The sequence below is a fragment of the Homo sapiens genome, chromosome 12 (genome assembly GCF_000001405.40).
Source record: "Homo sapiens chromosome 12, GRCh38.p14 Primary Assembly".
NCBI classification, from domain to species: Eukaryota; Metazoa; Chordata; class Mammalia; order Primates; family Hominidae; genus Homo; species Homo sapiens.
Window position 1 is genome coordinate 9,179,209 of NC_000012.12, and position 25,259 is coordinate 9,204,467.

Consider the following 25,259-nt stretch of genomic DNA (forward strand, 5'->3'; position numbering starts at 1 on the left):
ATTATTCTTCAAAAACCCCATATTAGATATCATTTTCTCCAAATGGCAATTATTAACCAATGTTCACCTTTTATTTTGCTGATCCACCTATATCCTTTTTTATTGCCTCTCTCTAAGGACAAGGACTGTGATATGTTTCCTTCTGTTTCCCCAGCTTTTACAATAGATCCAGCATGTAGTAAGCTTGAAATAATAATAATAAAATAAATAAATCATCACGACATGCCAAGTGTCACCCCCATGAATTAATATAACTATAGTCAAAAGCAGATAATTAAAATTTTAGTCTGTGAATCAACATTGCTAACAAAGGTGTAGTAGGTCATTTTTTAAAAGTAGAAAATAATTTGTAAATCACTTATTACCACTTTCACAGATCCCAACAACTCTACAGACATAAATAGTTCGATCTGTTAAAAGATACATGACTTCCCTTATGTTTGCAGGTATTAATTTTGTAGCAAGCTTACCTACTCCAGTGACCAAAAGTGATTCTATTTAGACAGGATCCAAACTAATACTTTGGCAACACATTAATTTACTCACTCTTTTAAACATGACTATCACGTAGGTGGGGAATCTTAACAAAATATAGCTTTCATTAAGATCACTGTAAGACATTAATAACTGAGGTTAAGATTTGATTCTTTACAGAAATAGAAGCTGTGTCATAGAAGGAATCAAAGTTGCAGGCAGATTCAGAATTTCAAAATCACATCTCAGCTTGTGCCACTTATCTTGAACAAATCTCTCAACTATTCTGAATCCACTTTTCTAATCTTAAAATGGGACTATTATTCTCCGGAATGTTGGGCAGATTAAGTGAGAAAACCTATATGAGACAGCTTGAGAAACTATCAAGTACTCGGCAAGTGGTACGTATTTTTACTGTTATATTTTACTCTCAATAGAGGCTTATTTATTTATTTATTTATTTTATTATACTTTAAGTTTTAGGGTACATGTGCACATTGTGCAGGTTAGTTACATATGTATACATGTGCCATGCTGGTGCGCAAGGTAATTTACAGATTCAATGCCATCCCCATCAAGCTACCAATGACTTTCTTCACAGAATTGGAAAAAACTACTTTAAAGTTCATATGGAACCAAAAAAGAGCCCGCATCGCCAAGGCAATCCTAAGCCAAAAGAACAAAGCTGGAGGCATCACACTACCTGACTTCAAACTATACTATAAGGCTACAGTAACCAAAAGAGCATGGTACTGGTACCAAAACAGAGATATAGATCAATGGAACAGAACAGAGCCCTCAGAAATAACTCTGCATATCTACAACTATCTGATCTTCGACAAACCTGAGAAAAACAAGCAATGGGGAAAGGATTCCCTATTTAATAAATGGTGCTGGGAAAACTGGCTAGCCATATGTAGAAAGCTGAAACTGGATCCCTTCCTTACACATTATACAAAAATCAATTCAAGATGGATTAAAGACTTAAATGTTAGACCTAAAACCATAAAAACCCTAGAAGAAAACCTAGGCATCACCATTCAGGACATAGGCATGGGTAAGGACTTCATGTCCAAAACACCAAAAGCAATGGCAACAAAAGACAAAATTGACAAATGGGATCTAATTAAACTAAAGAGCTTCTGCACAGCAAAAGAAACTACCATCAGAGTGAACAGGCAACCTACAAAATGGGAGAAAATTTTCGCAACCTACTCATCTGACAAAGGGCTAATAGAGGCTTCTTGATCTGAGCCTCTGGAATGGCCCTTCCTGGTCCCCAAGGCCACTGGAAACTCACTGAGGACACAGAGAGCTCAGCCTCAGGCTTCATGAGCAGCACACTTTGGTCCACAGCACGAAGGGCACAGAGGGACTGCGGAGCAGCTGCTACTTGCAGGTGGGCATGTGAGGCTGGGGGACTTTGTGCTGGGCTGAAGCTCAAATCCACCTGTGGGAAATGAAGGAAACGTCAACCAGTGTTTTCCCTACTTCTGTGATCTTGCAGTCACCTGCATTTCCTAAGCCACCCTTATATTCAGTTCATATGACTATGTTGGTAATGTCAGTCAGAAACCTATTTTTACAACTTTCCTTCACTTTAAAAATAGAAAATAATTTGTAAATCACTTATTACCACTTTCACAGATCCCAACAACTCTAGAGACATAAATAGTTAGATCTGTTAAAAGGTACATGACTTCCCTTATGTTTGCAAGTATTAATTTTATAACAAGCTTACCTACTCCAGTGATCAAAAGTGATTCTATTTAGACAGGATCCAAATTATCTAATGCTTTGGCGACACATTAATTTACTCACTCTTTTAAACATGACTATTACATAAGTGGGGAATCTTAACAAAATATAGCTTCTCGGTAGCTTAGTCTTGTCCTAAGGAGATAACTGAGGCAGAATAAGGATAGATACCTTGTTAGATTTTTAGATGGCCATCTTTATCTCTGACACATGATAAGGTAATTCTAGGTGTTTACACTTATTCTTCAGGTTTTGGGAACTTTTGAGTCTTAGCATTTTACATACTCACACAACTGAATCAGCAGAGAAGAGCATCATGAACACAAAACTGATTGTATTTTATTTGGTAGCAGCTTTGTGTAATTGAAAAAGTGCTGTACTAGATCCCTAGAAATTTGGGTCTGCCATAAACTTGTTGGGAACTGTTGGGCAACTCATTTTACTTTTCTGGACTTAGTTTTCTCTGGGGTAAAATAGATGGCACCTACAGTATCATTTATTTGTGTTCTTTTAATTTTATGTTAAATCGCTCACCTTGTTGGCTAGACAGTTTTCAATCTCAAATTTTTCAGAGTCTCCAACAACTTCTCCATCTGGTAAAATGGCAAAGATGAACATTCGTGCAATGGGGGCAACGTCTGACTCCACAGGGAAGGATAAGGCAAAACTGCCTTTCACTGGAACATGGAGAGAGTGAGACAAAATGGTCATAAGTGAGACAAAAAGGTCATAAAAATAGTGTCATAAGGACACTATTGCTTGGTCTTATCCACTTGAGAACTGCGTCCATTCATTCTAATGGCTTAGTCTCTCTATGTGCCATTAGTTATTTGGTGAAATTAGTAGGCCAATGTCTCCCTTCAGAACTTTAATTATAGCAGAAGTTAACAAAGTTCCTTTCACTCACATCTTTTTTATTTGATATTCCACTTAACTGTTGCCTAAATCAATTAAATATCAGTAGCTCCAAATTTTCTGCATATATATGTGACAACTATTTTATTTACATTTCAGACTAGAGGTGATTCTCAATTTAAATATAGAGCTATAATTTGTAAGATATAATAAGTTTATTTTGTCATATATGACTTTTAAAAAGCTCTGTATGTAAAAAAAAGTTCATACTAATTGAACTTCCTAAAAGAATATTTAATTCTTGGAGTTTTCATTGCAGTGTTAAACTCTTATAAGTACATTGGTATATTTCTACTGGAAGCATTAAATGGTACCAGATAACACTTCAGAAAATACTTTACATTTTAAAGCAGGGTGAAGGGCCACCAGGTAGCTACAAAAGGGCAACAACAAAAGTTCCATTTTCTGAATGGTCCACTGGGGACTTGAGTAGATGGCCCACATTTAGTTGAATAACGGTAATTATAAAACCACGAGAGACTTAATGACTGAAAAGTTTCTGAGATGCCTGTACATAAAGGACAGATACTCTCTGGTATTATTTCCATGTCTTCCTTTTCTCTACATCCCTCCTGTCCCAGATTCCCAGCTATATGGCTTTAAATTCCTGTGCTTCCAAGTTCTTTTCCAGTAACATATTCTTGGTGCAGTTAGACAATACATAGGATAACAGAGTCTCTCGACATTGTTGAAACTCAAAATAATGTAGGACAAGGACAATTAGAATTGTAGAAGAACTATAATTGATTTTATTTTTTTCTTAACCATATGTATTAAAAATTAAGTCTAATACCCTTAGGAATATTTTACAAAGTATAATATCAGGATGAACAAGGCTAGCTATCTAACACACAACATGAAGACTGTAGTTAATAAAATGGTACTATATTTTAGATTTTTGTCAAATGAGTGCATTTTAGCTGTTCTTGCCACACATACACAAATGAGTAAGTAGGTGAGATGATGGCCATGTTACTTTCCATCACTATAGTAGTCATTTTATTATCTATATGTGTCCCATAACGTTATGTTGTACACCTTAAATAAATGTAATTTTTTTTTGAGACAGGGTCTTGCTCTGTTGCCCAGGCTGAAATGCAGTGGTGCAATCATAGCTCACTGCAGCCTCGAATTTCTGGGCTCAAGTGATTGTACTGCCTCAGCCTCCCCAGTAGCTGGGACTATAGGTGCACAACACCACGTTTGGCTAATTTTTTATATATTTTTGTAGAGATAGGATCTTGCTATGTAGCCCAGGCTGGTCCCAAACTCCTCGGTTCAAGCAATCCTCCCAAAATGCTGCAATTACAGGCAGCAGCCAATGTGCCCGGCCAAAATTTACTTTTTTAAAATGATTATATTAAAGCCTGAGATTGGTGGCACTCAATTAAAAATTGTTATAACTCTACGTAGAATGTGGAATTTTTCCAACTTCATGCAAATTTGACTTTAGCTTAACATTACTTATTTTATATCACTATGTGTTTATACTGCAAAGCTCTTAAGTTTGGGAAGAAAGGAAGCTTAAAATATCCTTAAGGCAGTGTTATGCCATTCATATTTGTGTTCAGTTGGACAGATCAAGTTTTAGCTCAGACCTCAAAAAGGAAATAAGCTCCCCTTCTAAAAGGAAGGAAGCCCTTTTATCACTGTCTTGAGTTCAACAAGGAAAGTGGGGTAGATTGAAATGTCATAAAACCAGAAAAAAAATTATGGTGACTTTATGGCAAAGAATAGTGGTAGGAAATTAAAGCTTTTAATAATAAAATTTGCCAACACATGTGTGTGTGTGCACCCTGCCTTGCCACTGCTGGCAGCGTGAGTGTCCTCCATCACCCCTACTCCTACCACACAGCCACTGACATCAGAGCATTGGCAGGCACTAAGCTCGCCAACCCCACCCCTGCCAGCACCCTGCCCCTGCAATGGAGCTGCCAGTGCAAAACTAGGCACAAAACACACAAACCCACCCCTAGCCATGTACAGACACTGCCACCAGTATGAATGCACACAAAAGGTTCATACAGTCCTGCACCCACCAGTGCCCCACCCCCATGCTAACACCACCGTCAGTGCAAATGCATGCACAGTTGCTAGTGGGGATCCCCCAATCCCCTGAGTCATACTGCCATGATCATTGCTATGAATGCCTGCACAAAGGCCAGCAACCTGGCACCTGCTAGCACCCTGCCACAGCTGATGAGCGTGTACCCCACCACGCTGCCACTGCCATGCTGCTGGTACATGTGAATGAGGAGGGATCCCACTGCTACCATCCTGCAAAGTGCTTTGGCTGACATCACCCATGGAAGTGTTGTGACCAGTGGTCTGGGAGCACCTTGGTCCCTTCAGTGCAACATGTTCTTAACCTCAAGGAGCCAGAGAACAAAGCTGGAGCCAGATACCAGTTCCCCAGAGTTACAGCATGCAATCCAGGAGTCCTGAACTGAGCCTTGCTCCTCCCTGCCTCCACTGCCCCCAAATCTTCTGGTAACAAAGTCAGTTGACTGAACTCACCTTATACCACAATCAAACCTCCAAGGTCATCGAATAGGATAAAAGGAAAAAATCAAAACAACAGCAGTTTCTAAGAGTGAAGGAACATCAGCCCGCAAAGATGAGAAAGAACCAGCACAAGAACTCTGACAACTCAAAGAGCCAGAGCATCTTCTTTCCTCCAAACAATCACACCAGTTCTCCAGCAAGGGTTCTTAATAGGGCTGAGATGGCTGAAATGACAGAAATAGAATTCAGACTATGGATAGGAATGAAGGTCATTGAGATTCAGGAGAATGTTGAAACCTAATCTAAGGAAGCTAAGAATCACAATAAAATGATGCAGAAGCTGACAGACAAAATAGCCAGTATAGAAAAGAACATAACCAACCTGACAGAGCTGAACAACAGTCTACAAGAATTTCGTAATGCAATCACAAGTATTAACAGCAGAACAGACCAAGCTGAGGAAAGAATCTCAGAGCCACAAAATTGACTTTCTGCAATACAACAGTCAGACAAGAATAAAGAAAGAAGAATGAAAAGGAATAAACAAAACCTCTGAGAAATCTGGGATTATTTATGTAAAAAGACTGAATCTACAACTCCTTGATATCCTTGAAAGAGATGAGCATAATGAAAGCAACTTGGAAAACATATTTTAGGATATCATCCATGAGAACTTCCCCTCCTAGCTAGAGAGGCCAAATTCATATTCAGGAAATGAAGAGAACCCCAAAATATACTTCACAAGAAAGTCATCCCTAAGACACACAATCATCAGATTCACCAAGGTTGAAATGAATGAAAAAAAAAAAATGTTAAAGGTAGCTAGAGAGAAAGGACAAGTCACCTACAAAGGGAAGCCCATCAGACTAATGGTGGGCCTCTTAGCAGACACCCTACAAGCCATAAGAGATTTGGGGCCTATGTTCAACATTTCTTTTCTTTTCTTTTCTTTTCTTTTTTTTTTTCTTGACAGAGTCTCACTCTGTCACCAGGCTGGAGTGCAGTGGCATGATCTCGGCTCACTGCAACCCCCACCTCCCAGGTTCAAACAGTTCTCCTGCCTCAGCCTCCCGAGTAGCTGGGACTACAGGCGTGCACCATCACACCTGGCTAATTTTTGTATTTTTAGTAGAGATGGGGTTTCACCATGTTGGCCAGGATGGTCTCGATCTCCTGACTTCATGATCTGACCACCTTGACCCCCCAAAGTGCTGGGATTACAGGTATGAGCCACTGCACCTGGCCAACATTCTTAAAGAAAATAAATTCCAACCAAGAATTTCATATCTAGCCAAACTAAACTTCATAAGTGAAGGAGAAATAAGATGCTTCTCAGACAAGGAAATGCTGAGGGAATTTGTTACCACCAGATCCAACTTGCAAGAGCTCCAGAAAGAAGCACTGAATATAAAAAGGAAAGAATATTACGAGCCACTACATAACCACACTGAAGTACACAGACCAGTGACACTATAGAGCAGTTACACAAACAAGTTGACAAACAGCTAACAACATGATGGCAGATTCAAATTCACGCATCTCAATATTAACCTCTAATGTAAACAGACTAAATGCCCCAATTAAGAGGCACAGAGTGGCAAGCCAGATGAAGAAGCAAGACTCAGTGGTATGCCGTCTTTAAGAGACCCATCTCACATGCAATGACACTGATAGGCTCGAGATAAAGGAAAGGAGAAAAATCTGTCAAGCAAATGGAAAATAGAAAAAAGCAGGGGTTGCCACATGCCCATCAATGATAGACTGGATAAAGAAAATGTGGCACATATACACCATGGAATACTATGCAGCCATAAAAAAGGATGAGTTCATGTCCTTTCCAGGGACATGGATGAAGCTGGAAACTGTCATTCTCAGCAAACTAACACAAGAACAGAAAACCAAACACCACATGTTCTCACTCATAAGTGGAAGTTGAAAAATGAGAACACATGGACACAGGGAGGGGAACATCACACACTGGGGCCTGTCGGGGGTGGGGGGCTGGGGGAGGGATAGCATTAGGAGAAATACCTAATATAGATGACAGGCTGATGGGTGCAGCAAACCACCATGGCACATGTACACCTATGTAACAAACCTGCACGTTCTGCCCATGTATCCCAGAACTTAAAGTATAATTTAAAAAAAAAGAAAAAGAGAAAAGCAGGGGTTGCAATACTAATTTCAGACAAAACAGACTTTAAACCAAGAAAGGTCAAAAAAAAAAAAAAAAGACAAGAGAATTGCATAATGGTAAAGGGTTTAATTCAATGAGAAGACCTAACTAAACAAAATCTACATGCACCCAACACAGGAGCACCCAGATTCATAAAACAAGTGCTTAGAGACCTTCAAAGAGACTCAGACTCCCACACAATAATATTGAGAAACTTCAACACTCCACAGACAGTATTAGACAGATCATCAAGGCAGAAATTTAGGATCTGAACTCAGCACAGGACCCAAATGGATCTGATAGACATCTACAAAACTATCCACTACAAAACAACAACACATACATTCTTCTCAACTGCACACGGCACTACTCTAAAACCGATCACACAATCAGACATAAAACTATCCTCAGCAAATTTAGAAAAATGAAATCATACACTCCACACTCTCGGACTACCATGTGATTAAAATAGAATTCAATAAGAAGAAAATCACTCAAAACCATACAATTACATAGAAATTAAACAACCTGCTCCTGCATGACTTTTGGGTAAATAATGAAATTTTGGCAGAAATCAGGAAGTTCTTTGAAACCAGTAAGAACAAAGATACAACACACCAGAATTTCTGGGACACAGCTAAGGCGGTGTTAAGAGGGAAACTTATAGCACTAAACATCCACATCGAAAAGTTAGAAAGATCTCAACTTAACCTCACATCACAACTGAAAGAACTAGTGGGTCAGCTGTGCTGTGCAGGTGATCCATGCTACACCCTAATCACTACTTGCTCTTCGGAACCTGAAAGTTACAGCAACGGAAGCTTCAAGATGGAAAAAATGGCAGCCAGCCTCACCCTCTGTGAGCTCCGTCCCAGGGAAATGTAAAGTTGCTACCAGCCTGAAAACCCTGATGGGGGTGGGGTGGTGGTGGCTGCAGTCCCAGGTTGTGGGGTTGCCCCCATGAGGAGAAGTGGGACTCACATAAAAAATAGTCTGGCCAAACGTCCTTGATGAACATTGATGCAAAAATCCTCAACAAAATATTTGCAAACCAATATTCCTGATGAACATTGATGCGAAAATCCTCAATAAAATACTGGTAAACTGAATCCAGCAGCACATCAAAAAGCTTAGCTACCGCGATCAAGTAGACTTCATCCCTGGGATGCAAGGTTGGTTCAACATAGGCATATCAATAAATGTGATTCATTCATATAAACAGAACCAATGACAAAAATACGATTATCTTATCAGATGTAGAAAAGGATTTTAGTAAAATTCAACACCTCTTCATGTTAAAAACTCCCAATAAACTAGATATTGAAAGAACATACCTCAAAATAATAACAGCCATCTATGACAAACCCATGGCCAACATCATACTGAATGGGCAAAAGCTGGAAGCATTCTCCTTAAAAACTGGCACAAGACAAGGATGTCCTCTCTCACCACTCCTATTGAACACAGTATTGGAAGTCCTCACCAGAACAATCGGGCAAGACAAAGAAATAAAGGGCATCAGCATAGGAAGAGAGGAAGTCAAACTATCCCTGTTTGCAGACGACATGATTTTATATCTAGAAAACCCCATAGTGTTGGCCCCAAAGCTCCTTAAGCTGAAAAATGATGTTAGCAAAATTTCAGGATACAAAATCAATGTACAAAAATTACTAGCATTCCTATACACCAACAACAGTCAAGCCAAAAGCCAAATCAGGAATGCAAGCAATCCCATTCACAATTGTCACAGAAAGAATAAAATACCTAGAAATATAGCTAACCAGGGAGGTGAAAGATCTATACAATGAGAATTATAAAACACCGCTCAAAGAAATCAGAGATGACACAAACAAATGGAAAAATATTCCATGCTCATAGATAGGAAGAATCAGTATGAAAATGGTCATATTGCCCAAAGATCTCTACAATGAGAATTACAAAACACTGCTCAAAGAAATCAGAGATGATGCAAATGGAAAAAATATTCCATGCTCATAGATAGGAAGAATCAATATCATGAAAATGGTCATATTGCCCAAAGCAATTTATAGATTTAATGTTTTTCCTATAAAACTACCAACGACATCCTTCACAGACCTAGATAAAACTATTTAAAAATGTATATGGAACTAAAAAAAGAGCCCAAATAGCCAAGGCAATCCTAAGCAAAAAGAAGAAAGGAGGAGGCATCACACCACCCAACTTCAAACTATACTACAGGGCTACAGTTACCAAAACAGCATAGTACTTGTACAAAAACAGACACACAAATCAATGGGACAGAATGCAGAGACCATAAATAATGCTGCACACCCACAACCATCTGATCTTCAACAAAGCTAACAAACACAAGGAAAGGACTCCCTATTCAATAAATGGTGCTGAGATAACTGGCTAGCCATAGGCAGAAGATTGAAACTGGATCCCCGCCTTACACAATGCACAAAAATCAACTCAAGATTGGTTAAAGACTTAAATGTAAAACCAAAAAGTATACAAACTCTGGAAGACAACCTAGGCAATACCATTCTGGACACAGGAACTGCAAAGATTTCATGAAGAAGACACTAAAAACAATCTCAACAAATGCAAACATTGACAAATGGGATCTAATTAACCTAAAGAGCTTCTGCACAGCAAAAGAAACTATCAATAGAGTAAACAGACAACTTAGAGAATGAGAGAAAACTTTTGCAATCTATGCATCCAATAAAGGTCTAATATCTAGCATCTGTATAGAATTTAAACACATTTACAAGGAAAAAACAAACCACCACATTAAAAAGTGGGCAAAGGACAGGAATAAACACTTTTCAAAAGAAGATATACATGTGGCCAACAAGCCAATGAAAAAAAGCTCAATACTACTGAATATTAGAGAAATGCAACTCAAAACCACAATGAGATTATCATCTCACATCAGTCAGAATGGCTATTATTAAGAGTCAAAAAATAACAGATGTTGGCAAGGTTGTGGAGAAAAGGGAATGCTTATACACTCTTGGTGGGAATGTAAATTAGTTCAGCCATTATGGAAAGCAGTGTGGCGATTCCTCAAAGAGCTAAAAACAGAACTATCATTTGACCCAAGAATCCCAGTACTGGGTATATATCCAAAGGAATATAAATTGTTCTGTCATAAAGACACATGCACACATATGTTCATTGCAACCCTGTTGCAATGAACAGTAGCAAAGACATGGAATCAACCTAAATGCCCATCAGTGGAAGACTGAATAAAGAAAATGTGGTACATACACACCATGGAACTATGCAGCCATAAAAAAGAACGCCATCATGTCCTTTGCAGGAGCATACATGGAGCTAGAAGCTATCATTCTTAGCAAAATAATGTAGGAACAGAAAACCAAATATTCCATGTGCTCAGTTATAAGTGGGAGCTAAATGATGAGAACATAATGGATACAAAGAGGACAACACACAGTGGGGCCTATCTGAGGGTGGAGGGCGGGAGGAGGGAGAGCAGAAGACATTGAGGCCTATTGGAGGGTGGAGGGTAGGTGGAGAAAGAGGATCAGAAAAAATAATTATTGGGTAGTAGGCTTAGAACCTGGGTAACGAAATAATCTGTACAACAAACCCCATGACACGAGTTTACCTACATAACAAACCTGAACATGAACCCTTCAAACCTAAAATAAAAGTTTTAAACATAATAATAAATAATAAAATTTGAGAAGATTTCATTATTTAAAATCTCAATTCTGAAAATTAAATAGGCAAATAATTTAGGTAATAATAATTTGGACAGTATGAAGAATAGTGTGAAAAGAGAACAATATGAGGAAGCTCAACTTGGACAATTTGAAAAGTTTTAAAAAGTTGAATTTAGACAAATTGTGAATAAAATTTGTTCTTTTATCATAGAGGTGTAAGTGCTTTTGATAATTCTTTGGTGAAGAGTAAATCGGTAATTAATAACTATTAAAATATGTGGTTAAAATTGTTTTATGATGAAACAATTATGATTTAATTAGCTATATAGAGAAATTTTTTCCAATTGTTGACTCAGCTACTTTCAATAAAATTTTGTGGCATCTTCACAAAGTAAATGATTAAATAACTAGTCCTCATTTTACTATATAGAGATTTTCATACAGACTCTTCCTGTTATGAATAAAATTCAAATTGGAATATTATAAAAGAAAAAATCAAATAAATGTTTTAAAACCTTTGATTATTTCTGTGAATGTGATACATAGACCAGTATTAGAAGAAAATTATTCAACAAAAATTGAAGAACAATGTACACAGTGGGGTCCATTCTCCATATCTAACTACCTCTACACTAGTATTGGGAAAAAACTGATATTCAAAACTGGCAGCAGTTTTTAATGTTTAATTAAAATAATTATTAATTATTAGAGTACTGATTAATAATGCATAAATTTTAACTTTCTCAAAATTGTTTCAATTTTCAAAACTGAAAAATAAAAATTAAAAATTAATATTTAATTTTTCCAGCTTAGCAGGAAGAGAAACTACATAAATAGAAAATATTAGGCATGGAGCAAATCCTAATGGTTATTAAGTTTAGCTTAGGGGTGTGGTGGAAATTGGTAAAATGTTTCCCTTAGTTTAGGTTAATTACAAAAATGTTCACGGGTTCTCTTTTCAGTGGTTTAACCTCTAGATTATTTGACTTAGAATAGAAAACGATCTTGGTTCCCCAGGCCTCAATTTATTCTTGAAGTGAATCCAATTTCGTATATAAAGTACTCATGGCCTGGCACAAGAAAAAAAAATCTATCACCTTTCTTCCTTCCCATTTCCCATGATAATTACTTTTTTCTTCTCTGCAATGTTAATTTAATCAATGTACACTTTATTGGGGGTGGAGATAAATAGAAGGCAGCTTAGATTTTGAAAAGAGCTTTGTTTTGCTGTTAGAAGAAACAAACTAAAGTGAAAAACTAGTGTACCTTAGCAGAGTGACTGATACAGAGTAGACAATCACATTTATCTGTTGACTGTTGAATTTTAAAATGCCAAAGAGTCATAAGACGAGTATTTTCCTGCGTGTCCTCCTTATTGTGAAGGGATGATGGAAACGATTTCCCATTTATGAACTGTCACCGAGGGAAGGGTAAGGATGTGTTAGGGGAGCAAGGAGAGATGAATCTGAGGATACTCACTGTCTCCTGACTCCACAGGCAGAGTGTGGGTTCCAGATCTGACGATGACTCCCTTAGCCATGATCTGAAATGAAAAAACAGTGAAGGAAATTTCTTGAGCTGGACACAGTTCTCAGCCTTCTATTCCCCACATGACCCACTTTCAGTTGTCAAGTCTGTGCTGGAGAGAATCAACCTCAAGAAAACTCATGGAATGAAGGACGCACAACAAGAACACAAGGTGGCTGTGTGCAAGTAGTTTATTTTGACATTCCTGAGCCTATTGACCACTTTTGTCCTACTGATAAGCTGCAATTGTATTCCATGGCCTCATTCTTACCAGGTAATGGAAACTGAGCTCCGATAACTCTCCCATGGCCTGTCTATTCAGTGTATAGTGTGCCGTGATAGTCTCCGTGTGGCCACAGGGCAGGGTACCAGCCACAGGCTCCAGGTGAATGTAACTTCCACTTAAGGAGAAAACACGATTTGCAGTGTGCTGAGCACCCTGGTGGTCTTCTGCTACCCATGAATAGTGAAAACACAAGTTGGGATGCACAGTGAAAACCTGAGTAAACAGAAAAGCAAAGAAAGAATACTGTCTTGAAATTCTTCACCTTAGCTTCTCACCAAAATGAATAGTTACAACGGTGTCTTCCACTCTAAAATACACTATGCCTCTCCCTCATACTGGTCGACAGCCAAATAAATGAATTTTCAGTCTCCCAACATTCAAATATTAAAAGGAAATCATCCACAAATTTATCTCTTTTGCCCTGATTCTGCTAACTCATTACTACTTTGACATTTTCCTCCTGCCCCTCAGAACTAGAGGAAAAATGAGAATGATAAATAACTCAAACAAGTGGAAAAGGGATTTTTCAGATATTAGAATTACCTCATGAATTGGCTTAATTAAAATTAGGGTTTGTATTAATAAAACATTCTATTACCTTATGAGCTTCAAAATTGTTTTTAGTAATCCTTAGTAAATTAGCATTTATGCCTCTTATCATTATTGTGACTTCCAACCTTTAAGACCTATGTGATTTCTGAAACTTTAAGCCTTGCAGATAATGTTTTGCGCACAATTCTATTTCCCTTGTGGTAACTGCTCCTTAGCTTTTCTTCAAAGTGCACTTATTTTTTTCTAAATTTATTAGGCATATTTTGTGGACTCTTCTATTTGGTCTCATAATAAAGTTCCTATTTAAAAAAACCTTTTGCGCATAAACACATCATACTAATAATTTACAGATCTTTTAACTCCATGAAAATAGGAAATTTTAAAGTGTAGGGACACTATTTAGTCACCTTTTAAATCCTAGGGAGAGTGAGTGTCTATCACATAGAAAACATTAAACATCATTACATGTTTTTAAACTGAGTTAACACGTGAAACTGAGAAACAGAAATAATGTATATGTTATTTATTGACACTGAAATCCATAAATTATAGTCTTTTATCACTTCTTTGAGATAACAAGCATGAAAACTTTTTAGCTAGGGAAATCTTTTGATCATCGTCATTAGACAGTGTATATTAAGTGTGTGTGTGTGTGATCACTTTACAAAATTTCTAAGTGACCTGGAAAAAATAACATAAAACAAAGTACATGAATTACTGAAGCAGCTGATATTGTTCACGACCCAAATCAAATAAGATTTTTTTCATACTATATAAAATGTTACAGATAATGATAGTGAAATTATCAGGCACTTCTGCAGTGCCTTTTCTAATGCCTTTATTGTTTTTCATGAAATTCTATTATCCTCAAATTTGTAAACTCAAAGTTAGATATCTTCTTATTTCTTACTCTTAAATGCAATCTGTACATTTCTTCTGAATATATCACTGTTCCTAACATTTCCTTTGTCCTCAGAGATTTGTCTTTCTATACTTACCCGGACAAAAAGTTTATTAACCGAGATACTGGTAGTATTGATTGAAAACTGTGCAAGACCCTGCTCATTGGTGGTTGCATTGGAGTAATAATTGGCGTCATTCACAGAGATGAAGAAGAGTTTATTGGGGATGGGCACACCTTTTCCATCCACCAGAAGCACCTAAAGAAGAAAAGTACTTGATAGTTGATGTGAACAACACCCAGAGAGGACTGAACTCATGTGAACAAATGCTTTTGCTGCTATAACTAAAACAACAACCTCCCCCTCAAAAAAACCCCACCAAACCTTCATATTTACGACAAAATGTTTCCTTCCATTTGGATCCTCATGTCCTACATAGCTTATCTATGAAACTTTGTAGTATTTCCAGTAAAGTCAGGGAGTTTTTTTTTTTTTTTTTTTTGAGACGGAGTCTCGCTCTGTCGCCCAGGCTGGAGTGCAGTGGCGCGATCTCGGCTCACTGCAAGCTCTGCCTCCTGGACTCACGCCATTCTCCTGCCTCAGCCTCCCGAGTAGCTGGGACTACAGGCGCCCGCCACCCCGCCCAGCTAATTTTTTGTATTTTTAGTAGAGACGGGGTTTCACCATGTTAGCCAGGATGGTCTCGATCGCCTGACCTCGTGATCTGCCCGCCTCGGCCTCCGAAAGTGCTGGGATTACAGGCGTGAGCCACCGTGCCCGGCCAAAGTCAGGGAGATTTTTAATAACTACAACTTGCCACTTAATATGCACTTGGAATAAGAATAAAAGAAATGAATTTAAACTGGCTGTTTTTCCCTTTTCGCATAGACGGAGGCTAGAATGCTTGGCTGTGTTCTGAACTCTACTAGCTAAAAAAGTTACTTCTCTGCGCTTCAGTTTTCCACCTTCATTAAAAGGGGGATAATAGTTGTGCCTCCTTTATATGGTAGTATTGAAGATTAAATAATTATTTAAAAATACATTAGAGGAGTAGGGCGACTATAGTTTTCCAATAATCTGTTGTGATTTAAAAATAGCCAGAAGAGAATAATTTGAATTTTTAGCAAAAAAAGGACAAATATTTAAGGTGATGAATATCTCAATTATGCTGATTGGATCTTCAAAAATTATTTGAATGTATTAAATAATCACATGTACTCCCCAAAATTGATACTATGATGTATCAATTTTTAAAAAATTTAAAATAATAAAAATACATTAGAAGATATTTGGTGTACGATAATTATTCCATAAATGTTAGTTACTAACGTTATTATTATCTCCTGCAACAAACCAGCTAAGAAAATACACATGAGAATGTTTTCTTCCCTTCCTTTCCCTTCCCCTTCCCCTGGCCCTTCCCTTTCCCCTTCCCCTTTTTCCTTCTTTTCCTTTTCCTTCCCCTTTCCTTCTTTTCTTTTCTTTCACAACTGGTCTCTGTTGCCCAGGCTGGAGTGCAGTGGTGCCATTATAACTCACAGCAGCATCGAAGTTCTGGGCTCGAGGGATCCTCCCACCTCAGCTTCCCAAGCAGCTGGGACTACAGGTGCACGCCACCAGCCCACTGCTAATTTTTTTTTTTTTTTTTTTTTTTGCAGAGGTAGAGTCTTACTATGTTACTAGGGCCGATCTAGAACTCCTGGCCTCAGGCGATCCTCCCCCCTTGGCCTCCCAAAGTTCTGGGATTATAAGCATGAGCCACTATGCCTGGCCAAATGTCTCAATTTACTAATTATAAAACAGGTAAAATTAATTATCAATATGAATAAAATTAATATTTTATTGGCTTTATTATTGTTAAAATATATAAGTTAAACATATAAAAATATAATAATAATAACCATGAAATGCATGTTATTTTAATACCTATGCCTAAAATTAAAGACTTATTTATTTATGTCAGAAGAGATCAACAGATATAAAAAGAACACTGACAGCCATAAATGTTACAAACTCTGAAAATTCTGATGCTGCCCAGGTCATGATAGAAATATCATTTATTCTAAACTGCATGAAAGAAGAGGTTTGATATAACAACTAAGTCACATTACATTAAGTATCTTTATTAGCTACATATTAAAATATTATCTCTGATTCTCATAATAATTTAGTATGTGTCTGTTTGTTTCATCAGTGATATTTAGAAAGGAAAGTATTTCTCCTTGGTTTCATGGTTTTTGGTCATATTAATTAACTGATAACACTAACCAAGTGTGGGCTGCATCATTGTGTCCTGTGCTTAGGTGCAACTGGATACTTTGCTTACCTGTGCATTACAACATATCTTACCTGTGCAAAAAAGGGGATTCCTTGTCTAAAGTGTGAATCCACTTTCACGAATTTGAGTTTGGATACAATGTTTGTGATTTCACTGATCCTGTTTGCAGTGACTTCCAGGTCTGAAAAATATAAAGAGTCAGTACTTTTAGAAGTTACTTTAGTCATAAAATTTCTTTCTTACAAATGACCTTTATTTTGTTATGGAAAGTAAACTATTGTTTTATTTCCCATATTCGTTCATTACTCACACCTGTCCCCTCTTCTCTGATCCTGGCTTCCACTCTAAGCTTCATTTCAAAGCCCGTATTTGTAATCTGGAGCATTTTGGTGTGTACTTGTTGGGTGATGCAGCCATTGCTGTTAAGCTGAGAAAAATACCAAAACCAATAAATGTCAAACTGATTGAGATCAATAGTCACTGAATCTACTATTCTGTCTCTAATGACAAGAAAACTTTTTTTTTGCATTAAGTAAGTTAATTGACCTTCGAGAACTTAATACTCATATCTGCTTTGTAACCTCCAAAGTTAGTCGTCCAAATGAGAATCTTGTTGACTAAGAACAGAAATTCGTTTTTTGGTGGGGGATATTTTGCGACAAGCTTGTCCTGATGCCCTCTTTCTAGTTAGTAAAATGGAGTCTCACTGGTTGTAAACAGTGATAGCACTGAGGGAGAATACCGCCTACTAACCTGTTGACTGAATTCCTCACAGACCTCCTGCTTGTCACAATTAAGAACACGAGATAATTTTCTACACAGGCTCACAGTTGCAAGTCCTGGGACAGGCTTCCCATAAGTGTATCTGGTACATGAGAAATAAATCAGGAATTGAGAATGGCTGTTTGCATTTTCCACTACCACTCCTCCACAGAACTGTCCCTCTTTAGAGTTGCCTACACATCTTTATCATCTGGGTGCCCACCAAGTAGAAAGCTGTCTGGAAAATGTCTCCCTCAAAAATATTAGCCATTAAAACCTTTGAAACTTGACTGCACTGTACCACCACATTCTCTTTGGGATTGAATATATATATTTATATAAATATTTTTATATATTTAATATATAATATTATAATTATTATATTTTAATGTTTAATTAAAATAATTATTAATTATTGGAGTACTGCTTAATAATATATAATAATATAATATATAATAATATAATATATTATATATAAATATATTATGTATAATGTTGAAAATAATTATTAATTATTAGAGTACTGATTAATAATATATAATGTAATATATAATATATGACATAATATAATATATAAATATAATATATATTATATATTTATATATTATATTATATATTATATTATATAATATAATATAAAATTATTATATATATTATACAATACATAATATATATAATTATATATTATACAATACATAATATATATAATTATATATTATACAATACATAATATATATAATTATATATTATACAATACATAATATATATAATTATATATTATACAATACATAATATATATAATTATATATTATACAATATATAATATATAATATTAATTATATATAATATATAATATAAATATTAATAATATATAAATTATATATATTTATATTATATATTATATAAGTTATCTATATATTATATTTATATTACATATTTATATATTATATATTAATATATATTATATATATATTTAATCCCAAAGAGAATGTGGTGGTACAGTGCAGTCATATATATATGCAAACATATATATATATATGTTTTTCCTTTGGCCAGGTGCTTTGGCTCATGCCTGCAACCCCAACACTTTGGGAAGCCAAGAAGGATTGCTTGAGGCCAAAAGTTCCCAACTAGCATGGGTAACATAGCAGGACCCAATCTCTACAAGCTTTTTAAAAAGATTAGCTGGGTATGGTGACATGCACCTGTAGTCCTAGCTACTTAAGGAGGTTTAGGCAGGAGATTCACATAAGCCCAGGAGTTTGAGGCTACAGTGAGCTAAGATTGCTCCACTGCACTCCAGCCTGGGTGAGAGACTCTGTCTACTAAAAAAATGTTTCTTCCTTTTAACCTACTTATTTTCTATCATTCTTCTTTATTTTGTTTTAATAATATCAAAGCTTATTCTGTATACCAAGTGAGCAAATGTAGATGATGAATTGAATAAAAATAAGTACATAATAACTAAGCAAATCTAACACAAAATGCACAGACACACGCACACGTGCACTGACACACATGCACAGAGAAGAGAAGGGAGAGAGAGGGAGAAAAAGAAGCCTAGGAACACATGAGGCATGTAAATACAAAATAATTAGTGGGGTTATGTGTGTGTGCACATGTTATATTAGTCCTTTCTCTGATTAGATAATGGGTAACAGAATAATACACAATAATTTTGTTTTGGACATTGGTTTTCTTTCCTATTTGCAAATGGCTCTGAAATTACTTCAAATAAAAAGATAGAATCAAAGCAGCTTATTCTGAAGCCCTTCTCCAACATATAGATATCTGCACTACGGCACTATTAATTTGGACACATAACTCCTTGGCCATTGCTCTGAGGCTGAAATGAGGCAGAGATCTAGGCGTTTTGGTGTTTCTGGTATATAATATTTAGGCTGGCATATTCCTTTACCCTGCGTGCTCCCTCTGGGACTGTTTGTTTGTAGGCTATCAGTTTTGCTTCTTCAGGTTAAAAGGAACTGTAAGAGGTATCTGTAATCACAGAGGGCAACAGTGGAAAGGAACATCATAGGTAAGGTTCATGCCCTCTGTCTACTGCTTAAGAGATGGAGGCACAGAGAAGCAGCAGAATGCCTAGTGAAAACAGTAAGTTCTGATAGGGGAGGCACACTCATCACTGCCGATTCTGAGTCTAGTACCCTTCATAATCATGACATCAGTCACTGGATCATTTATATTATGTTTAAGTCACTTCTATAAAATCCTAATCATTGGCTTTTGCCCAGTAATTGTGACCTGTGATCTTTAGGTTTCTCTGTCACATTTTTAGTCCATCGTATCAGCGCATCCTCCTTCCTCAATGACAGGATTAGTATTTATGGTATACATATGAAGAAAAGGAGAAAGTGAAATTTCCTGGAGTGGAAATTTCTGGGGGAGAGATTATTTCAGGTTATTAAACAATTTGTTCTACCATTGCACTATTTCTGGTTATTGAACAATTGTTCTATCAAAAAGATCAATGTAAAACATTCAATGTATCCTCTTAAAATTGCCCAGAGGAAAGATTAGGCATAATTAATTCAATGTTCCATGAGAAAACAAACAGGCAGATTCTGCAAGCAAGACTTCTAGAGGCCAACTGATGATCTTCAGCGAAATGTCATTAAAAAAAGGAGGTTATAGACTTTTAAACCTCTAAGATATTTATAGATTCCTATGGCTTGCTTTAAAATATTAGAGCAAAAAAACTACTGTAGAGGAGGAAATGGGACAAAAAGAACCTGGCAAATTTTACAATTTTAAAAATAGGTGATAGGTACATGAAATTGTGTTTTACTTCTCTGTTAACTTTGGCACGTGATTGAAAATTTCCGTTGTAGAGAGTTTGGAAAAAGAAAAGGTACTTAGGAGTCATAATAACCAAAACCAATGTGCGAACACCCAGCTTTATGAGACCATTTTTAGGACAATTGAAGATACTTGACTGTAAACTTGCAATTAGTTTTGGAAAATTACTTCCAATTTTGTTAAGTGATCGTGTTGTCGCAGAAGTGGACAATGTCTCTGTATTTTAGAGGTACATACTACTGCATGTACAGAAAAATATCATGATCTTTGTGATTTATCCTAAGATGTTAAAGCAAAATATATGATGAAACAATACGGAAAGATGTTTATTGTTAAATCATAATTAAGTGTGTTTCTATTCTTTTATGTATTTGAAAATTTTAATAGTAAGTCGTTAAATAAAGAGAAGTCAAAGGAGTAATATTACAAAAGTGCTGAGGCAAAGTAAATTTATAATTTTGTACCTACATAATCCCTCAAAATTGAGGCAAAATATAAAATTTTAGATAAAAACAATGTAACTCACTCTCCACAGACTGTTATGTTCACTTTTTCATCCATGATACTGATTATCTTTGGCACCTGAACTTTGACCTCAAACTTGGGAAGCACTGTTAATAGAGATAATAGGAATAAGGAAGGTTGGTAAACATTTATTGGAAATACAAATAATTTCAGTATGTCTATAATTTTTCCCAAAATAACACTCTGAATGTTAGATTTACTTTCCAATGTATCAACTTTAAGATGGTAAGGTTTAACAATTCATGCAGAATCTAACTGACTTCTTGAGCACAGCGGGTCTCAGTGACGTTAACAAATGATGGTGGTTTCACTGAAACAAGAAGTTTCATACTTGGCAAAGCGTAATTTGCTACTGAAAATCAGCAAGCTCTTATGAGCTTCTGTGTTCACACCGTCCTAATGGTCTTAGAAGCAGTAAGTCTGACTCTACTGCAAGTTCAACATATCTACAGGAAATTCAAAGGATCTAAGTGAGCTCACACTCTAGGAACCAAAATGTTATGCCTTTTTCATCTTCCATAATCCATACCAAATTCCTCCACGGTGAAGGGGTGCTGTATCCTTCCACCTGATTCTGTCTGTACCACCACCCTGTAGGAGCCCTGAATGGGCTCTGATGAGAGGGGAAAGGACAACTGATTGATGCCAGCTTCTAGCTTGAGACTCTGCCATTGTGCAATTCGATTTCTTCTTGGGTTCTGAAGGGAAACAAGAAACATGGGCGGTAATCATTTAGTCACAATAGTCCTTGAGCAACTCAAATGATTTTGAAGGTGATAATTAGCATTGCCTCTGGAAAGACAAATACAGAAGGAAGAGAAAATACAATCAACCTGACAACTGGGAGTAGGAGGAATTCAGATCTGAAAATTTTTAAAGTAGTTCATCTGTCTAGAGTATTATCAGAACCTCCTACTCTCTAAAAGCACTAATTTCCTTATAAGATACTTTTTCTGATACTTACCTCAAGGTATATCAGTGGAATCTATATGATAAAAGGAAAGAAGAGATGTGATTAGAATTCCAGCAAAGGCTACAATTTCAGACTTGTGATCAAACAACAAACTGAGGAAGAATATTATCTGTAGCTAAATTCAACAAGAAACATAACAGAACTGGAAAAATCTCAGGGAAATTATTAAATAGTTCTAGGATGAGCATACACAATATATTCAATAATTATTATTATGTGTTGCCATTTCCCTGAAAATTATTATTGGTGAATGATATTATTGAATCTTTAAGTATTAATATTATTTGGATACTAAAATTCTCCTAGTGAATAATATGACTATACTGCTTACTTTCATAAGTTGGGAAATAGATATTAATAGAGTTATATGTCATTATGATTTAGACCTAACAGAAATAGAATTCCCAGAATCATTTGGTTGAAAGTAAACCAAGAATATTTCTTCTAATTTCAACATTGTCTATTTTCTACCTATTAAAAGCAGCTTTGTTCCTTTGCACTAATATTGAAGGTAAGTTGAAAAAAGGGAAATTCAATTAGCATAAAAAAGTCTTTGTGTATAATATATTTCTATACTATATGTATCGAATATATAATAAAATTATAATATGGTCTATTGTATATACCTATATATTCATAAAAGCATAATTCTGTGTTGCTTTTTTAATCATAAATTCCTTGAAAGTATGAATAGGAATAGTGCCTTTTTTCTATGCTTCTTTAATATTCTTAATGCAGTGTGTTCAGAGTAACAAATGCAGCTATTGCCAGACTGATTAAATACTGTTATAAGAGAAAGAACTTCCTCATCTCTTGTCCCTCAATTTTTGTTTTGTATAAGACTGCAAATCTGTGCTGAGGCTGGAGCCAAGTTCAAAAACAAGTGTCTTTCATCCTCTCGCTTTTCTTGTACCTTTCTACCTCACTCTGGGTGAGTATTCCCACTCTACCCACAACCCAAACCACAGATAGTGGATGCTTACCAGTTCATTTCGAGGGCGAAAATTTTCATCCACGGAGACAACACGGAATCTTACTGGAAAAGTAGTTCTCCGATAAGATTCAGACATGATAAAGCAGGTAATTTGGGTAATAAGACAGGAGGCTACGGGGCTAGGATAATGGAGACTTTGGCTGTTCAGGTGGCCCTTCTCAGTGTTGCCCCAAACAGTGGAATTTCCCTACTTACCTGTCTGTCCTGGTTTATACATGGGTTTGTCTGTCTGGACAAAGACCAGACTTTGGGTGTTCAGTACCAGAACTGTGTTCCTCTTCCTGAAATCTTGCGTAGGCCCCTTTATCTGGATGCTAAGGAATGCCACCTCTGAAGAGGCTGAGATCCTTGGGAGCTAAAAAGCAAAGGATTTTTTACTACTGAGGAACTGTGCAGTCTTCTCCCTCTGCATTCTTCAGTCATTGCTATTTCCTATCTCTCCTTCAGCTTCACCAAGGAGAAGGAAGGTGTGACTATTTCTTCAGACATAAGAGTGACGATATTAATGTGAGATGGAGGAATGGTATCAGTAAGAGTGGCCATCAATAGAACCCAGATCTCCATGGAGTTCACCTAGAGCTCTAGTTATTAAATTAGATGCCTTTTAACTGAGTATGTATATTCTGAAGCAATGGAGAGAAACATCTCTGAAAAAATATGGGAGAGCATAGGAGCTGAGTTTCCCAAGTTAGGCAACTTTAAAGAGGTACTAGGTGTTTGCTTAGGGTATCCTGCATGTGCAAAAAATTATGTTGCATGCAAAGTTTTTATCATGAAATTTTCATATGATCTATTTCTAGGAAATGTCCAGCCCGATCCTTAAAGAGACAGTTACAATCAAAACTAGAAAACTCCTCTAAGTCATGAAATTTTTGTGGGCAATAGGATTATTATTTAGGAATGAAATTTAGAAGAGTATTTCTTCCTTACTCTGGTAAAAAATGCTTTGTTCCTTAATAGTTGAAAACTCACTATTTTTAGTCCTTTCTGAAGTCCTAACTACATTCCTTTTTTTTTTTTTTTTTTTTTTGAGACGGAGTCTCGCTCTGTCGCCCAGGCTGGAGTGCAGTGGGGCGATCTCGGCTCACTGCAAACTTCGCCTCCCGGGTTCACGCCATTCTCCTGCCTCAGCCTCCCAGGTAGCTGGGACTACGGGCGCCTGCCACTACGCCCGGCTAATTTTTTGTATTTTTGGTAGAGACGGGGTTTCATCTTGTTAGCCAGGATGGTCTCGATCTCCTGACCTCGTGATCTGCCCGCCTTGGCTTCCCAAAGTGCTGGGATTACAGGCGTGAGCCACCGCACCTGGCCCCTGAAGTCCTAACTACATTCTTAAAGTCATACCTTGGGATCGCACACCAGAGCTCCATCACCATGACCTATAGAGCTCAATAAAATGTATCAAGCAGGGATAGCCAGCTGGCACCGTAGCACTCACAGTGAAGGAGACACAGTGGAATAAGTCCTTCTCCGCCACCAGGTCAGTGAAGAGGCTCCTGTTTTCCCTGCCAGACTCCAAGGAAGCACTTACAGTCACTGTCTCATTCAGGTGGCTCAGAAGGACACAGCCCTTCTTAGGGGCCTCAGTGTGGAGCAGGGAGGGGACCAGCACCATATACTGCCTGGGAAAGGAAGAAGTCTAAATTAGAGAAAAACTGATGATAGTAAGCGTTTTCATCCATAAATGTGTTTTCATAACAATATGTATTAATTGGTGCAATCAGTTTTATTCTAAAAGTCAATGGACTAAGTCAATGGAGGTTCTGTCACAGATCAGCACAAAAATTTTATCTTTTACTCATCAGCCATGCCTCAGCCACACAATCTGGAGCCATACAACACTGGAGATTGCTTTCCAAGATGTTACAATTTCACAGGCATTCCTTGCTGTAAAGAGCAGTCTGAGCTCTTTAAACTTTAACTTTGACCTTTAAAAAGAATCTGAATTCTTGAATATATATCCATAAAAGTGCACGCACACAAACACACACACATATATAAAAAATTGGGAGTGATTATTCATTGTAAAAAGGACTTACATTAAAATCTGTCTAGATAAACATCACTTTGGAATGAACACCGTGACTAGATTTACAGAAATTCAACTGAAAGAACTTCAGTAAGCATATATCATTACA

At 36.8% G+C, this 25,259-nt stretch overlaps 2 protein-coding genes across 10 annotated transcripts in view; one reads left to right on the forward strand and one right to left on the reverse strand.

The window, feature by feature from the left end:
* Positions 1-25,259, forward strand: part of KLRG1 (killer cell lectin like receptor G1) — a 265,527-nt gene that overhangs the window by 229,165 nt on the left and 11,103 nt on the right. Inside the window, exon 7 of one of the 2 annotated variants that reach the window (XM_047428074.1) lies at positions 14,847-16,060. The exons of the other annotated variant lie outside the window; for it this stretch is intronic. The gene's annotated coding sequence lies outside the window, so the exon portion shown is untranslated. Of the gene's footprint in view, positions 1-14,846; positions 16,061-25,259 lie in introns of those variants that run through there. 2 annotated transcript variants of the gene reach the window in all.
* The window catches only part of PZP (PZP alpha-2-macroglobulin like), a 71,924-nt gene that overhangs the window by 42,737 nt on the left and 3,928 nt on the right, over positions 1-25,259 (reverse strand). For 7 of the 8 annotated variants that reach the window (XR_001748834.2, XM_047429274.1, XM_017019763.2 and 4 more), the window contains exons 2-15: positions 24,560-24,743; positions 23,317-23,476; positions 23,111-23,163; positions 22,119-22,139; positions 21,684-21,852; positions 21,156-21,240; positions 17,804-17,915; positions 17,363-17,477; positions 17,122-17,231; positions 14,869-15,030; positions 13,304-13,531; positions 12,985-13,048; positions 2,767-2,909; positions 1,775-1,924 (exon numbers count right to left, since the gene is read on the reverse strand). Coding sequence is in view for 7 of the 8 variants with exons in the window: in XM_047429274.1 (XP_047285230.1) it covers positions 1,775-1,924; positions 2,767-2,909; positions 12,985-13,048; positions 13,304-13,531; positions 14,869-15,030; positions 17,122-17,231; positions 17,363-17,477; positions 17,804-17,915; positions 21,156-21,240; positions 21,684-21,852; positions 22,119-22,139; positions 23,111-23,163; positions 23,317-23,476; positions 24,560-24,743 (1,756 nt within the window). In the remaining variant the exon portion in view is untranslated. Of the gene's footprint in view, positions 1-1,774; positions 1,925-2,766; positions 2,910-12,984; positions 13,049-13,303; positions 13,532-14,868; positions 15,031-17,121; positions 17,232-17,362; positions 17,478-17,803; positions 17,916-21,155; positions 21,241-21,683; positions 21,853-22,118; positions 22,140-23,110; positions 23,477-24,559; positions 24,744-25,259 lie in introns of those variants that run through there. The other variant, XM_024449111.1, reaches the window with a different exon arrangement.